The 16956-nt window shown below is 42.0% G+C and overlaps 1 protein-coding gene across 3 annotated transcripts in view, besides 2 other annotated features; it reads right to left on the bottom strand.

The window, feature by feature from the left end:
- The window catches only part of ATXN10 (ataxin 10), a 173474-nt gene that overhangs the window by 55481 nt on the left and 101037 nt on the right, over positions 1-16956 (bottom strand). The window lies entirely within an intron of this gene.
- Positions 4070-4119: a silencer, noted in NCBI's record as "silent region_13888". NCBI's record gives its function as "represses an Ori minimal core promoter by ATAC-STARR-seq in GM12878 lymphoblastoid cells {active_cell/tissue: GM12878}" and the evidence as "EXISTENCE:reporter gene assay evidence [ECO:0000049][PMID:35858748]".
- Positions 12132-12191: a silencer, noted in NCBI's record as "silent region_13887". NCBI's record gives its function as "represses an Ori minimal core promoter by ATAC-STARR-seq in GM12878 lymphoblastoid cells {active_cell/tissue: GM12878}" and the evidence as "EXISTENCE:reporter gene assay evidence [ECO:0000049][PMID:35858748]".

The raw sequence follows: 16956 nt of genomic DNA, 5'->3' as shown, positions 1-16956 counted from the left end.
GGAAAAAAAGGAGTGTAGTTGGCAAAGCAGCCTCATGAAGGTGGGAGCAGGACAATCCTGACAAACTGAGCTTCTCTCCAAAGGAAGGACACACTCCTACATCCCTAACGGCCAAAGCTAAAGCCCAACACATCAGTGCACCACCACCACCACCACAAAGGGGCTGGATGGGTTAGAAGGCTCTCCCTCTCTTCTTCTTGTCGTGGAGAGAGCTGTATTAACATACTAACCCCTAACTTTTCCAGGCCCTTCACTGGCGCCTTCCCAGGGCGGTGACAATTGAATCCCTCTTTGAGTTGAGCTGTATAGCGTCCATGGTATACAGAGCAGCTATTTGTTTGCTTGTCTCACTCTTTCATTAGACTCTGGGGCTTTCAATGACAAGAGCCATGTTTCCACTCATCCTTGCATCCCTTGCCCGGTCCCGAGATACTTAACAATGATTTGCGGAAAAAAAATATATGCGCGTGAGAAGCAAAAGCTCACCTTCCACCCTTGCAGGGTCCAAATATAACCAACAGATACGTACTGAATGAAACTTAGCCAGGGGGAGGCAGGTGAGTAAATTAATAACTAAAAATACATTTACAAATTATGGTAATTCCTATAAAATAAATAATTAAGATGATCTACTAGAGATTGAGAGTGGCCAAAGACTGTTTTAGAGGGGTGGTCAGGTGAGCCTTTCAGCTCATGAAGATGTGCTGATACAGTCTGAAGAAGCACTGATACAGAGCAGTGACTTTCCATCCTTACTGTCAATCTGCATCTCCTGGGGAGCTTTTAAAACTACCCATGTCTTGGCCCCACCTCATGCCAACTTAATCTGTATCTTGGGGGTGACGGTCCTGGCACAGATACATAGTTTAAAAGCTCCTGGCTGGGCATGGTGGCTCATGCCTGTAATCCTAGTGCTTTCGGAGGGTGAGGTGGGAGGATCATTTGAGGTCACAAATTCGAGACCAGTCTGAACAACACGGCGAGACCTCATCTCTACAAAAAATTAAAAATTAGCTGGGTGTGGTGTGTGAGCCTGTAGTCCCAGCTACCAGGGAGGCTGAGGTGGGAGGATCGCTCAGGAGTTCAAAGTTCCAGGGAGCTTTGACTGTGCCACTGCACTGCAGCCTGGGCAGCAGAGGGAGACCCTGTCTTTCATTAACTAATGAACTAAAAGCTCCCTAGGTGACTCAGATTCACAGAAGGGTGGAATATAAAGTCTTGGAAATCAGGAAAAAAATTTTAGATTTGTGTGAGAAGGAGCAAGAGCGGCACGAAGAAGCCCAGTGAGGAAGCTGCTGCAGACGCTGAATGAAAGGTGATGCAGGCCTGAAGCCTGCGACAGCAGTGGGGACAGAAAGATGCAGGTGGATACGAGATACATGGTAAAGGTAGATCAGACACTAACTGCTCTCTAGGACTGTGGTAAGAGAAAGAAACAACTGGAAGATTCTAAGAGTCTGGTTGAAATGGATGTGTGGTGGGATCATTTACTGGGAGGGCAAAGAAAAGATCTGGGGATGCGGGACTCAAGGGCACAGTTTGGGCATATTTCGCGGGAGGCACTTAGAGACGAGACACCTAAGTAAACATTACCAGTTATATATTATCCATCTCTTATACATTGAAAATGTGAGCAGTTATGTCCCCTAGTGTGGAGCCCCAGGGACATGTCTGGGCTCAACAGGCATTCTGCTGTCATCTGCATACAAATGGCCCTTAAATCTTGGGCACTGGAAATCTCCTAAAGCGGGTAGATGGAGACAGCAAAGGGCTCAGGACATAAAGGTCTCAGGAGAGAAATCCTGGTGCTCCTTGTATAACCTTGGGATCAGCACCAAGTATTACTCAACCAAAAGATTTGAGTAATCCCACACTAAATATTGTAGGCAAATGTAAACACTCATTCCTGATAGATTAATTTGTAAATGATATGAATATTTTTGTTCCTGGAAAAAGATCATCAGTAACTGAAATTGCACAAGATTTTCTTTAAAAGTTACAGTGATCATCAAATTATTTGCCCGCTGATTGTTTTTCAGGGTAACTTCTTTCAGAAATGTATTTCCAAACTGCGGGCTGTGAAATATGCAAATGTCCTACTGTGTTCTGTTAAAATTATACAGGAATAACACACAGACAAACATATAGACCTCACTAAACTGAATTAAATTATTTTAATTCCAACTGACTATTCTGTCCAAAGCTGGGATATGGGAAGAGCCACCAAAGTATTGATGAGAACGTTCAACTCAAGACGACTGGACAGCATTCCTTCCCATACAGTAAGTCTACTGAGTACCGAAGGTCAAAAGAAGCAAATGCCAGGCTTGGGAACTGGAGGCTAGAAGGTGGGAAGGAAACTGCCAGGGCACTCGGCATTTCCTGGGCCCTCCTGTCTCCCTAGTGCCTTGAGGGAAAAGGGGCCAGGAGGCAGATCAAGACACAGCGGTAGACGGAAAAAGGTCCGAACTCCAGTTTTGGAGTCAATGAGAATTAGAGTCCATTTCAGCTAGAGGATCGTCACCCTCAAATCTCACTGCAGCCCAGCTGAACACTCTAGGGTCTGACCCTTCTTTCAGGAGCCAAGCCCCAACCCTGAGATGGGGACAGATCCTATCCATGAAAATTCTCTGTGTTTTTCAATGCACATATATTAAATACTTATACTTAATTTGTTAAAAAATGAAGATCATCTTTATATATACAGTATTTTAGATCTTTCCATACAATAAAAATTATTTGAAAATGTGATTTTCTAATAGTATATTCTATTCAGTCACTATAACCTACCATAATTTACTGAACATTTCAGGACATTTGCATCATGACTAAATTTTCACCAACAATGCAATGAGCATCCATATAGACAATTTTTTTTAACCTCATCACTGATTATTTCCTTTGGAGAAATTCCGAAAAGAATTACTGGACAAAAACAAAACAAAACCATCTTTGAGTGTCTTTGAGACATACTGTTAAAATGCCTCCCAGGAGGGTTCTCCCAATTCATACCACCCCTAGAACTGTCCGTGCTTCCCTTTTAATTACTGATGCTGCAGATTTTTAAAGTTGCTTTTTTGATAGGTAAAAAATGTTCTTTGGGGCTTTCCTTTGCCATAAAGGAAGGCTGAGCATTCCTCCAGCTGCCTACATTTTATAAATTAAGATTTTATGAGATAAAGGCATTTAATAGTACAAGTTTTGCTGACCAGCTGAGATGTGCCCGCAGCATTGCACTTGGAGTGGGTACGAGACCTAAGTAAGGAAGAACCAACAATCCTTCCGACCAGGGAGCAATGCCCTGGCAGGAAGGGTGATAAAGTGCGGGCTGCACTGGCGCCCAGCTTCGCACACAAGGACTGCACCACTGCACGGGGCCTCAGTGGCCACACGGGAACACAGTGAGGCCGAGAATGTCAGAGACTGCATCCCATAAACTAACCCTGCTCCCCATGACACCTCCAAAAAGAAAGGAATCCAGAGAGAATGATACTACAGTTCTATGGCAAAACTCAATAGGGTAAAGTAGTGAGTAGCATTCTCCAAGCTTTTGTGACAAAATAAAGATGCTTTTCAAGAATAGTAATGGCAGAGGCTCTTAAAGTACCCGGAAGTACAAAACACAATGTGATTAATACAAATATTCTCTGAGTTCAACTACCAAATTCCAGAAAAATTAGCAACTATCTTTTCTTTAGCAAACATTCACATCTGAATTTAGTGCAATTTTCTCATGAATTATTCAACTAGCAGATAAAATCTTTGTTTAAATAATGAATGAAATTAGCTGATTTTTAAGAAGCTAGCTATATTTCTGATTACAAGATGAAAAAAAAATTTGGTGAATGAATGTTGAATCACTGCATAGCTACAAAATTTGTCTGCTTTGTCCAAAACAACCAGAAACCTTAGAGCTAGATGTCAGAAAGGTATTTTCAACTGATTTGGAATGCAAAATATCTTCCCACGTTTGGTCCAGGAGGACGTGGCTCAGAGGCTGCCAAGTATACCCCTCCTGCAGGACGGTGCAGACCCCTTTGCACAGGACTGTCTCTGACTCTCAGCCTCGCGGCTTCCTCAGACTTCCACAGAACAAGAGGTAATGGCAAGAAGGCAGGGACAGGACCCAGGAGCACTGAGTTAAGCCTGGCGCTGCCACCTGCTCAGCCATGTGAACTTAGGTGAGTCATTCTGGCCTCATGAAAAACAGGCCAAAAAGCTCTACTGCAAACAGAAGGTGTCATTCTAGTAAACGGTAAGAAAACAGAACGTCTTACACAATACCTGGCTTCTAGAAAGTGCTCAATAAAATGCGAGAATTTAATATCATCTTTTATTTGTACTTCTACTTAGGGCATTTTTGTTGCATTCTTTATAAAGAACTTTAAACTAGCTGAATCATAAGAAAAAAAGTAGAAGCACAGTGTTAGTTTTCCATTACTGTCATTTCTTTAAGACAGTTTAATTAGGCAAAATGTCAAAAGCTGGCCAGTGAAGTATTTAAAGAGCTAGATGAAAGATCCCCATTTTTAAGCAGAAGCAGGAGAAAATATGAATCAAGAAGTGAATTTATCTCTAATGTACTTGAGTGCACATTACTTAAAACTCCACTCCATTTAGTAGCCTCCCGAAAGTACCACAAGACATGACTTGAGAGAGCAACAATACCAGAAAGGGATGGGTAAACCATGGCAGCAGCAGAGAAAACAAAGCAGCTCTGAAAAGCTGTTTCGGCACATCTGTGCTAACACGCACAGCTACATTTAGAACAAAAATAACCCATACAGCAAGTTTTTAAAAATATGCATTCTGCCTCTGCTACTTGGGGTGCAATCCCCACCCATAATGCATCATCTACAATGTCATACTTCAGTGCCTGAACAAACAGAATTCTGTCATGAACACATTCAGTCTTTAATTTTTAACTCATGGACAGAATCTCAATTGCTTGTTGTATTATGATAAGCTCCTTGCCATCAATAAATAATGCCCTGGAAACTGTTGATCAGCTTGCCCACGGTGTTTAAAAAATAAAAAAATAAAGGCTTGCTGGGAGCTCAAGTGTCCAGCCCGTGCTGGGAATCTGCCACACAGCAGCCCTCAGAATGACTATCTGGAATGTGTAAGAATAGCCATGAGGTCAATTTGGGCCCTGCTCTAAGCTGTGTGTCCTCTGGGCACAGGGAGGGGGTCGACAGGCGAGCCCACAGGAAGCCAGCCTCCTGTCCCTTCTCCCGTGCCTGCCATCCACACCTCCTGACAGCCTAGCACAGACCTCCAAGGCAAGACATGTGGAAGCCCCACTGTTACCTGAGGCAGACTGTGCAATGTGACACTCGGGGTGCAGATTACAATTAGGGGACTATGTCTTACGAATCAAGATCATATGTCTTAGAAGCTGTGTTAGCTCTGCTTGAAAATGGGAAATAGGCGAGGGAAAGGAAACGTGCCAAGTATCCTACTATATTACAAATCTCTTCCATGCAAATATTTGGTATTCCTAATGGTTTTGCAAGGTAGAAAATAATGTTCCAAGATGACAGATAAAGAAAATGAAATCTGTAAGGGTTAATTTGTTCACAGTCATGGAGCTTAATGAGTGGCAAAGCCCAGATCTGCCTAATTTAAAAATGTACATTTTTTTTTAAAAATTGTACCACACAAATTGCAGGTAACTATTTCTGGTTTTCAGAAAAGAGAGAATGGCTGAAATAATATTAAATGTGCTGGAAAACCTCAAAGTGTGCAAATGAAGAGTGATGAGGATTAAGAAGGGGAGAGGGAGGGCCAGTGACACAGACCTGGCCTGCTGTAGGACAGGGGACGGCCTGCAAAGCAGTCAGGGACAAATGCGGGTAGTGGGCCGCCAGCCTCAGCAGACCTAGGAAGACATCTCAAGTGCCAAACTCTCACCAGCCTTGACCTACAGGAAAGAAGTCTGACCATTTCCTCGGTGCCCTCGGGAATCGTGCCATCAGCATGACACAAACATGACAACAGCACTTTCAGGTCCTTTTTCCAAGACCTATTTCTCTGTGTGCTAACACCTGGCACCTCTTTTAATCTTCTATTTATTTATTTGATAAACATTTAAAAGAAAGCTACTTTGTGATAGACCTTGTATTGGGGACTAAAAGGTAAATCAGAAACAGGTACTGCTCTTACCAATGTCAGGATGTGGGTGGGGATAAGGGAGAGAGAAGGCCCCACAGACAAGCAAAAAGCACCATTCACATCCAGCACTGGAGGGAAACACGAAGGGCTGCAGGAATACAGAAGAGGACACCTGAGCCGGCCAGGCAGGTCCAATCAGGGGCAGCCCTGAAGGCCAAGCTTACCAGTTTTAACTTTGTCCTGAAAGCAACAGAAAGAATTTACAGAGACTGGTGCTTCAGAAAAGAACAGAGAGTTGTACCCTCATTCAAGGATTCACGTTTTGCAATTTTCAGTTACCCGTGGTCTGAAACTATTAAGTGGAAAATTCCTAAAATAAACAATTCCTGTTTTTTAAGTTGTGCACCATGCTGAGGAGCATGAGAAAATCTCTCACCATCCCTCCCAGGGCTTGAATCCTCCCTTGTCCAGCACACCCACACTATTTATGCTCCCCAGCCATTCTGCCATGGTATCACAGTGCTCGTGTTCATGGAACCCTTATCTTACTTAACAATGACCTCAAAGTACAAGAGTAGTGATGCTGCCAATTTGAATATGCCAAAGAGAAGCCATAAAGTGCTTCCTTTAAGTGAAAAGGTCAGAGTTCTAGACTTAAGAAAAAAACTGTATGCTGAGGTTGCTAAGATCAATAGTATGAACCAATCTTCTGTCTGTGAAATTGTAAGCAATCTATTGTTGTTGTAATTGTTCTAGTTTACCATTAGTTATCGTTGTTAATCTCTTACTGTGCCTAATTTATAAATTAAACTTTATCACAGGTACATATGCATAGGACAAAACCTCACATACATAGGGTTTGGTACTATCCTCGGTTTCAACATCTACTGGGAGTCTTGGAACATATCCCCCATGGATAAGAAGAGATGACTGTATACATTTCTTTAACATTTAATTTATTACGGTAAAGTGCACAAATCTTACGTGTATCGCTTATACAAGTTTTATATATGTAGGCAGATGTGTAACCACCACTCATATAGTGGTAAAGAACATTCCAGCACCAGAGACTCCCTTGTGTCCTCTCCCAGTTGATAACCCCTACTAGAGGTTAGTATTCTGACCTCTATCACCCTACATTACTTTGGCCACTTCTGGGATTTTGGATCAATGGAGTCATACAGTAGGCACTCTCTTGTGCCCAGCTGCTGCACCTCCCAGAAGCTCCCTCTGTCACCACTATGTAATATTCCGCTGAATGAATACCATAATGTATTTATCCACTCGATTAGTGATAGACACTTGGGTTGTTTCCAGTCTTTGGCTATTATAAATTAGGCTGCCATGAACGTTTGTGTTCATGGCTTTTGGTGGACACGAGCACTCATTTCTACGGGATATATACCAATATAATAGCTGGTTTAGCAAAACAATATATTTAGCAAAAACACCATCACTTTTGTTGAAAATGCTGGTTGATGTATCCTGGACTAAGGCCAATAGGCCCGAGTCATGAAGAATAAAAGACTGAGAAGAGATCCTTTCTTGTTTTAACAGGAATGATGGGTTAATAGGATCATGAAAATTTCCAGAGAGTTGAGTCACTTGCTATTCAAAAGCTATACCAAGGAAACTCGATCCACTCTTGACCCTCTTGAATTTGTAGGTTTATGGTTTTTGCCAAATTGAGGAAATTATTCTTTTGAATACTTTTTCGGCCTTTTATTAAAGTCCCACATATCCCTGAAGCTTGGTTAACTTTTTTGTACAGTCTATTTTCTTTCTGTTGTTCAGACTGGATAATTTTTATTCCATCCTCCAGTTCACTGATTTTTTTCTTCCAGCATCTCCATTCTGCCACTGAACCCAATCACTGAGTTTTGGCTTTTTATTTCAGGTTGCTGTTTTTTTAGTCCTAAAATTTCCACGTGGCTTTTCTTTGTATCTTCCATTTCTTTGCTGAGATTTTTTCATTTGTTTCCAGTGTGGTCATAATTGCTTACAGAAGCATTTCTATGATGGATGCTTTGAAATCCTCATCAGATTATTCCAACATCCATGTCATCATCTTGGTATTGGCATCTGTTGACTGCCTTTGCTCACTTAAGCTAAGATTTTCCTGGTCCTTAGTGTAACCCATGATTTTAAATTGTACTCTAAACATTTGGGTGTAGTGGTATGAGAAGACTGAATCTTAAGTTTAAGTCTCCTATTTTAGCAGAGCTCGTTCAACAACAGCACGTGGAAGGCAGAGCAGCTCACTACTGCCAGGTTGTGGTGAAGATCTAGGTCCCTCACTCAACCTCCTTTGACACCCGGGGAGAGAGGGGTGCCTCACTACTGCTGGGCAGAGCTGGTTGTTCATGCTCCCTACTCGGTCTCTGCTGACAGTACAGCTGGGCAGGGGTTGGGGGATGCCTCATTACTGCCCAGTGGGGATAAAAACCTGGCTCCCAGCTCCATCTTCTCTGACACCACCTAGCAGGGGTGAGGGGTGCCTCATTATAACCAGGGGAAGGTTTCTGTTTCGGCTCCCCATTCAGCCATTGTTGGTGGGCTGGGGCCACATTCTTTTCCGTGGTGTTTGGCTGAAATAGGGCACTTACTGTCTAAAAGTTTTCTGTCTTAAGTTGTCCCCTTCTTGGTCCTTTAGGGAGAAAGAGTGAGCTTTCCTCAGGGCTTTCTGGTCTGCACCCATTGGTGTTTCTGGGTTGACAGCTTCTCTAACATTAATCAGTCTGAGAAAACCCAGGGAACTTGCCACCTTATCGTTTCTGAGTCTCAAGGCCCCTTGCTAGTATGCCGTCTTCTCCCCACCTGTCACGTGTTTCCATGATTGTTTCATATATGATGACAGGGTTCTGGATGTATTTAGCTGGAGAGATACCGGGAAGTGCATCTGCACCACCTTAATCCAGAATCCCAAGTCCAATTGCCAACGTATTGTTTTTAAGGTGCCAAAGGACTTCCATTAGCAAATGAAGACACAAGTCACTGATCCAGGTTTAAATTTCAGAAGATTAGGATATATTTGTGCAAACAAAAATAAAGGCAGTTAATATGTACTAAGCATTGGCCAGCACTGTTCACGTTACATGTAGTATCTGACCTAATCCTCCCTATGAGCCTCTGAGGCAGGACTTCCTGTTATCCCATTCTACAGAGGGGGAAACAGGCTGGCACAGGTTCACATCCACTCCACAGCAGGGCCAGGGTTGAACCTAGGTCTGCCTGACTCCAGAGCCAGACCTCCTCCCACCACACTGCATAAATTCTGAAACAGGCAACAAGGGGGCTTTCACACCCTGCTCTCATGAGAGCAAACAGTCCGACGGGCACAGTGGCTCATGCCTGTAATCCCAGCAATTTGGGAGGCTGAAGCGGGTGGATCATTTGAGGTCAGGAGTTCAAGACCAGCCTGGCCACCATGGTGAAACCCTATCTCTACTAAAAATACAAAAATTAGCTGGGCGTGGTGGCACACGCCTGTAATCCCAGCTACTCAGGAGGCTGAAGCAGGGTAATCGCTTGAACCTGGGAGGTGGAGGTTGCAGTGAACCAAGATCGTGCCACTGCACTCCAGCCTGGGTGACACAACGAGACTCCGTCTCAAAAAAAAAAAAAAAGATGATGCAGTCTGCCTTTTTGTTTGTATAAGCGTTTTTATTTGGAATTTCACGAATGTAGAATACTTAGATATTAAAAACATTAACTTCAAATGTTTAAGGGCAAGGACTCCTGATTGGTAAAATCATTGGAGTATACTTTTCCACTTCTTTATCAATCAGAGATTTTTTTTTCAGAAACACATTATTAATTCCTAAATATTTTAAAAATGAAAGCCCCAGAAGAATGGCATGTTTCCAAATAAAGTACGAATGATTCTTTTTCTTTGTACTCTCAAAAAGTATGTACGAATTCTATTTCATCTCTGCTAGATCACAAACCACAAACTACAGATTTCAAGTCTTCGCTTTCTTGTCTGTAACCATGCAAGGCAATATAGAATTGGTCCTTTCACAGCATCTGTGCTTTCAGATCTAAACTTTTCCTACAAGGTTATGTACCAAAGGAAGAGCATTAGAGGAAAAAGGATACTACATAAACACCACATAAAAATGACAAAGATGCCTACTGAGGCCTGAAATCACTACCAGTGGTTGCGTACTGCAAGACGGCCACTCACCCCAACAGCAAGTCTAGTCTCGCTCCCAGCTGTGAAGTTTCTCTCCTTAAAAGAACAACAACAACAACAAAAGCCCAACATAACCCTCTTCCTTCCAGTCCGTCTTTAGTCTTCTGAATTATAGTCTTCTGAATTATATTCTGGAGTCTCAGAATGCCAGAACTGGAAAGTGCCTTCAGTGACTATGTGGTCCAACAAAAATCATACTTCCACTTACATACGAGGCCCAAGAAAGAAAATTATCCTCATTAAGAAGTTGAAGAAATTGATAATTTCTCGAGATGAGTAGGGTCCTGTTACTCCAATATTATGCATTCTGTACTTAGAAACATGAAGAAATAGAGGTGTTGCTTCATTATGAAAGGGAAGAAGTGGTGGCTTCTTGCAGGAGAGAAGAACGATGCAAAGCTTTATTTTGGGGAATCTGGTCACAGAGAAAATTCATAAATCTCATACTCAAGAGCTGAAAAGAGCCTGGAAAAACTCAGTCCAGTCTCCTTACTTTACAAACGAGGAACACAGCAAAATTATTTTCCCCAACTCATATAATCAGGAGCTTCTAGATCCTCTGATACTCTGTATCCATTCCACTCACCAGACATGCCTGAGTGCCAAGATGGAGAGTGCTCACATCCTAGGACCTTTTTGTACAAATATCAAATTAATTAATTATCAAAATTGAATGTATACAAAGAAACTAGTATTAATTTCATATATTAATCAAATGTTTACTTTTCCCATTCTCATCTTTTCCATGTGAGCCATCCTGTGTACCAAGAACAATCTTGTCAATCTCAGACTGCTCTTAGCTGGGAACTCAGTGACACGATTTTATTCACTTAATGGAGAATCCTAATTTCATACAAGCTCCTCTCTCTCTTTTTTAGGCTAATTGTACCAGATATATGCCCAATTACTTCTAATCATTCGTTATTTCAGTAAAAACCTCAAGAATAGTAAACGCGGACTTATAAGGGTTCCAACTCTGAACAGAGGTTCTACTTTGTTTTACACATTAACAACCCTATAGTTAGCATAATAACGAACACACTGAGCATGTACTCTACTTATGCTTTACAGGTATCATATATTAATTCATCTCATCCTCCCTAGGAGGCATGTACAATTATCCTCATGAAGATAAGTTTCACTGAGACGCAAGCTCCATAAAGGCCAGTATTCGTTCACTGCTGTATTTCCTGAGCTTGGAGCAGGGCCTGGCACATAGTAAGTTCATAATATATACTCACTGAGTAAATGGATAAATGACATTAATAGGGGAAAAATTAAGGTACAAAGAGGTTACAGAACATGATCAATGTCATACAGCTATTGCATAACACAGCTGGGATTCAAACTACTGAGTTTTTTATTGCATTAAGTCAGGGGCCAGCAAACTTTTTCTGTAAAGGGCTAGAAAATAAATAGTTAAGACTCTGCAAACCATACGGTCTCCACTGCAACTACTCAACTGTGTTGTTGTAGTGTGAGAATGGCCATAGGCAATATTAAAGAAATGAACACAACTATGTCCCAATAAAACTTTATTTACAAATAGAGGCCCACAGCATAGTCTGCTCACCCCTACATTAAATCCTCATAAGAATCAAGCTCTTTCCACTACACCTCATGGTCTCTATGAAAGGGAGACTTGCAGACCATTCATGCAGTAGGAATTTGCTTTTGCATTTTTAGGCTATAAAGCAGAATCTCAATTCTCATTTGCATCTTGAAATCAGAACCATGACTCCAGCAGGCAGCTAGAGCTTAAGTGAACAGGCAGGTGCGGAGGGGTGCGTGCAAGTGCACAGACATAGTTAATCCAAAATCTGTTTTCACAAGAAAATCTGACCTTACATTAAGCACTGTGATCTGGAAACAATGCAAAGACTCCATCTGGAAGACAGGCAGGGCACAGGATTGGCCATTTCTGTTCTCATAAGGAAAACAGCCTAACCAAACTAAACACTAACCTGGTTAAACGTGAGGCTGAACATAGCTGAATGCATTAATCATCAGACAGGACAATAAAGGAAAATATGCAAGCTCTCTCCCAACTGTTTACCACTTGTATTTTTCTTGGAACAGAAATGCATTTTATATATTATATGAACCTGTAAAAAACACATACCTGGTAAAACATTTGAACATATACTCTAGATCAAGAGAATACTAAAACATGAAATATTCCATCATCATTAAAGAATTTTGAGTTCACAAAGGTTTAAACACCCACCCGACTCCAGCTATGGTAACAACGACATAACAGAAACTAAACAGCACTTTATGCTAACTGGATATAATCTTGATAATTATAGGCTATTCAGTGTGTAACAAAGTATGACAAACCTCTCCCTAAGGCTGATCCATCTCAGTAAGTAAGGTATCACTTAGGAGTAACATGGCAAAGTTTGAACAGGAAAACCCAAATGAATTATTTTTCGAAATATAAAAGTAGCTTTCTGGTTTATTTAAAATTAATGCTCATGCATACATAAAGTCATTCAAGTTCATCGTTGTCCACTATTCAAATGACATAAATATTATTTGCCTCAAAAAGTTCAACTTGATACATTTATTGAGAAATTATGTGCAAAAATGATGCATAGGAATAAAAAGCTGAAAACGGTACAGATCCTTCCATGAAGAAACTTTTAAAAACTCTTGTCTCAGAATCACTGGCAAAAACATAATTTAATTAGAATACCAATGCTTAAAAAAACTGGCAGCAGCAGTTAGTATTTTGGGTGATATTCATATACCAAGCATCACGTGATATACTTTACATATATTATCGTTTGTGTTTATAGCAATGCAGCAAGACATAATGCATGATTTTCATTTTCTCTATTGAGAAAGCTAGGGCTCAATTACTCTTGCCCCAGATCACACAACTAGTGGGCAGCTGAGCCATGCAGGCTTCCAAACCAGGCTGCTTGGCCTTCAAGTAGAAACTTCTCTTCCATATCAGTTTAATTGCCTTAAAGCAGGGTTCCAACTTTGACATTAAAAAAAAAAAAAGGTATCAGGGAGTGCAAATTATATGAAAAACTTCATATGGCTGTGGGTGTGTGAACTTTCCTGAGAGGGGAAAATTTTAAGGGGTAAAAAATGAAAGGTGGTCAGACAAAATATCCATGTCACGCATCACACCTGCAGACATGATCATCTTCGTTTTAAACACCTTCTTCAGTGACATGCTTATGAAAGTGCTTTATAGAATGGAAAGTGCTATCAAAAGATTGGTTGTTATTAACAAAGCAACAAGTGGGTGGTTTATGATTAAGGTAAACCATGGTCCACATTAAGTTTTAGACAGAAAGAAATGGAAACAATCACTGAAGCCTTTACACAACGGGTGTTTTTTTATTCTGCAAACTACTACCTCTGGTTAACCGTAGGCTTACAGAGTATATCACCATCTTGATTTCGAGGACATGAAAACTAAAGTTCAGAAAGGTAACAGGACATGCTCAAGGGTGGTGATGCACAGCCCTGGGTTCCCTGAATTGGGTCCCCCTCCAGCAGACAGGTCAAGTGTGGGTCAAGGACGGAACCAATGGGCTGTGGAGTGGCCACAGATGTCGGTGCCCATGGTGGCTCCACTTAATCTCCGGGAGCTCCAGGTTTCAAACACCAGCAAACGGATGTTAATGTTACCTCCCGGCTGGCTGTGAGGGGCGGAATGATCTATCAGGTTAGAGGCTGTAGAATATTTATTATTGGTGCTACCGTGCTAAATAAATCGGAGACCCAGGTCATGACATGAGGCACTAATGAGGAAGTAAAACTTGAAGCATGGAAACTACTCAACCGCTGTTTTTCACTAAATCTCTCTCAATAACAATACTGCAAGTCACATTTTTATTATAAATAGTCACACGAAGGAGAAAAACAGTGTCATTACACAGGCTAACACTGACGAAAGCCATGTTTGGCAGTCACCTAATTCTAACCATATTTTCCAATATTAACTGCATTTTAATAAAACTGAGACACTACAGAATAACTATTTCTGAACCTGCTTCAACAAGTAAACAAGAAAATGTTTGAACAGAATAAAGACAACTAAATATGGAATGAATATAAACTTTCAGCAAGCACCCACCCGTTCTACAAACCCTCACAATGTTTGTGTTTTCCAACTTGTCTCAATTTCTTACAAAATCTCCATGAAGCCACTTAAGAGAGGGTGCACCTCAGCTAACAGGCCCTATGTTGAGGTCCAGATGTGAACACAGGGACAGGGACACAGCCCCATGCCCAGGACCAGTAGCCTCCTGTTATGTCCAGCCCTCCCAGTCCTCCATGTGCACACATCTGTCCCCTGCCCACTGCCATCCCCTCCTTCTCTAGGAGTGGTAAGGACTGAGGGCCAGTGTTTCTCAAAGAAGGCCCCAGACCAAAATTCCCACCTCTAGAAATGGTGGAGTCCTAAAATCTGCAGAGTGGATAAGTGCTTCTGGTAATACAACACTAAAGTTTTACAAACTACCAGAAAAAGGGATGGGGAAAAGGCAAAACAAACAAACAAAAAACTTTAGTGTTTCTCCGACCCCTGCCTTTATTTATTTATTTGTTTGTTTTGAGACAGAGTCTCACTCTGTCACCCAGGCTGGCGTGCACTGGCGTGATCTTGGCTCACTGCAGCCTGCCACCTCCACCTCCCAGGTTTAAGTGATTCTCCTGCCTCAGCCTCCCCAGTAACTGGGATTACAGGCGCGTGCCACCACACTCAGCTAATTTTTGTATTTTTAGTAGAGACAGGGTTTCACCATGGTGGTCAGGCTGGTCTCAAACTCCTGGCCTCAAGTGATCCGCTCACCTCAGCCTCCCAAAGTGCTAGGATTATAAGCGTGAGCCACCGCGTCCAGCCCCCCTGCCTTTATTTTGTAAAAAACATTAAACATCCTTTCTCTTTTTCAGGAACCTGACATGGAAGATTTCCTAGAGTTGGGATCCTTTGCTGTACAACACTGGTCAGGACTGGAGAGGCAGGGAGGTGTCAGGTGGACATCTGGAATTTCCTAATAGCGATCTCCTCTTACATCAAAGTAGTAGTTCCCCTCTGCCTGTAAGGCAGACTTCATTTCCAACATAAGGAACAGGAGACCTGGAGCTCTCCCACAGGACTGCTTGCTCGCACACTGTGTCTGCATTATCTGTCTCACTCCAAAATAGCGATGCAGGGACTGGTAGGGACAGGCTGCCATTCCAGACAGGTGCAGCTCCTGCTCTCACTCTACTGGACAGATGGCCATGGTCAACAGTCACAGAGTTATGGAGGCCAAAAACTCCCCCAGCAGAAATGCCAAGTAGGAGGCAGGTGCCCCACCATGCCTACTAAGGCAGGGCCACCCCCAGACATTAGCAGGCTGTCACAGTACTTCCCAGAGTGCCAGCGCACACATGCACATGCTGAAATGGTGCTGGCTGAAGCACATGGCATCAAATGGTTCTTTCTGTCTGCAAGACCTGAAGAGGGGCTGTTTTGATGGCTTCATGTTTCTTACAATTTGTTTCTACAGGCCATTCTCTCTACCCAGACAGGACTGCAATGAGAAATCTACATAGTATCCCACTAATGGGAAATCATTACATAGAAATACACCTGTGGATAAACCCATCCTTCTCTTGTTCTTCCAATGGTTGAGTCTTTTAAAACAAACAAACAAACAAACATCAGTTCATTTCTTTTTTCTTTCTGTGGTTTTGTTTTTCTTGTGATTATTTTTTACTGTTTCTTCAGGTTTAATAATTCTTCATTCAGGCCAGGTGCAGTGGCTCACACCTGTAATCCCAGCATTTTGGGAGGCCGAGGTGGGTAGATCACCAGAGGTCAGGAGTTCGAGACCAGCCTGGCCAGCATGGTGAAACCCCATCTCTACTAAAAATACAAAAATTAGCCAGGCATGATGGTGCAGCCTGTAATCCCAGTTACTCAGGAGGCTGAGGCAGGAGAATCGCTTGAACCTGGGAGGTGGAGGTTGCAGTGAGCCGAGATTGCACCACTGCACTCCAGCCTGGGTGACAGAGCGAGACACCTATCTCAAATAAATAAATAAATAAATAAATAAATAATTCTTCATTCAGTAAAAAGTAGGTTCTGTTCCCATTTAACCCCCACAGAGAAGAAGGCAGGCAGGGACATCACAGCATGATCAAATAAGGCTTGTGACTCAATGAGACATAAAATGGCAATAAAAGGCATACAAATTGGAAAAGAAGAAATAAAACTTCATCCTTATTCACAGGATATGATTGTTTATGTAGAGAATCCCAGAGAATCTATTTTTCAAATCTCCTAGAATGAATGAGTTGAGCAAGCCCATACGACACAAGGTCAATGCAAAAGTTAACCATATTTCCACATGCGAGACGAACAACCAGGAACTGGCTATTTTTAAAAAGTAACATGTACAGTAGCTCCCCCACCACATGTTATACACAGTCAGCCCTTGTGTCTCTGGGTTCCACAGCGTCAGACTAATTCAACTGCAGATCAAAAATATCTTGGGGGAAAAAGACTTTAAAAATACAGTATAGCAACTATGCACACAGCATTTACATGTATTAGGTATTATAAGAAGTCTACAGATGGTTTGAAGTATACGGGAGGATGTACATAGGTGATATGCAAATACCATACCATTTTG

Source organism: Homo sapiens, chromosome 22 (assembly GCF_000001405.40).
Source record: "Homo sapiens chromosome 22, GRCh38.p14 Primary Assembly".
NCBI lineage: Eukaryota > Metazoa > Chordata > Mammalia > Primates > Hominidae > Homo > Homo sapiens.
The sequence above is the reverse complement of the archived record's forward strand: the minus strand, read 5'-3'. Positions and strand labels throughout refer to the sequence as shown.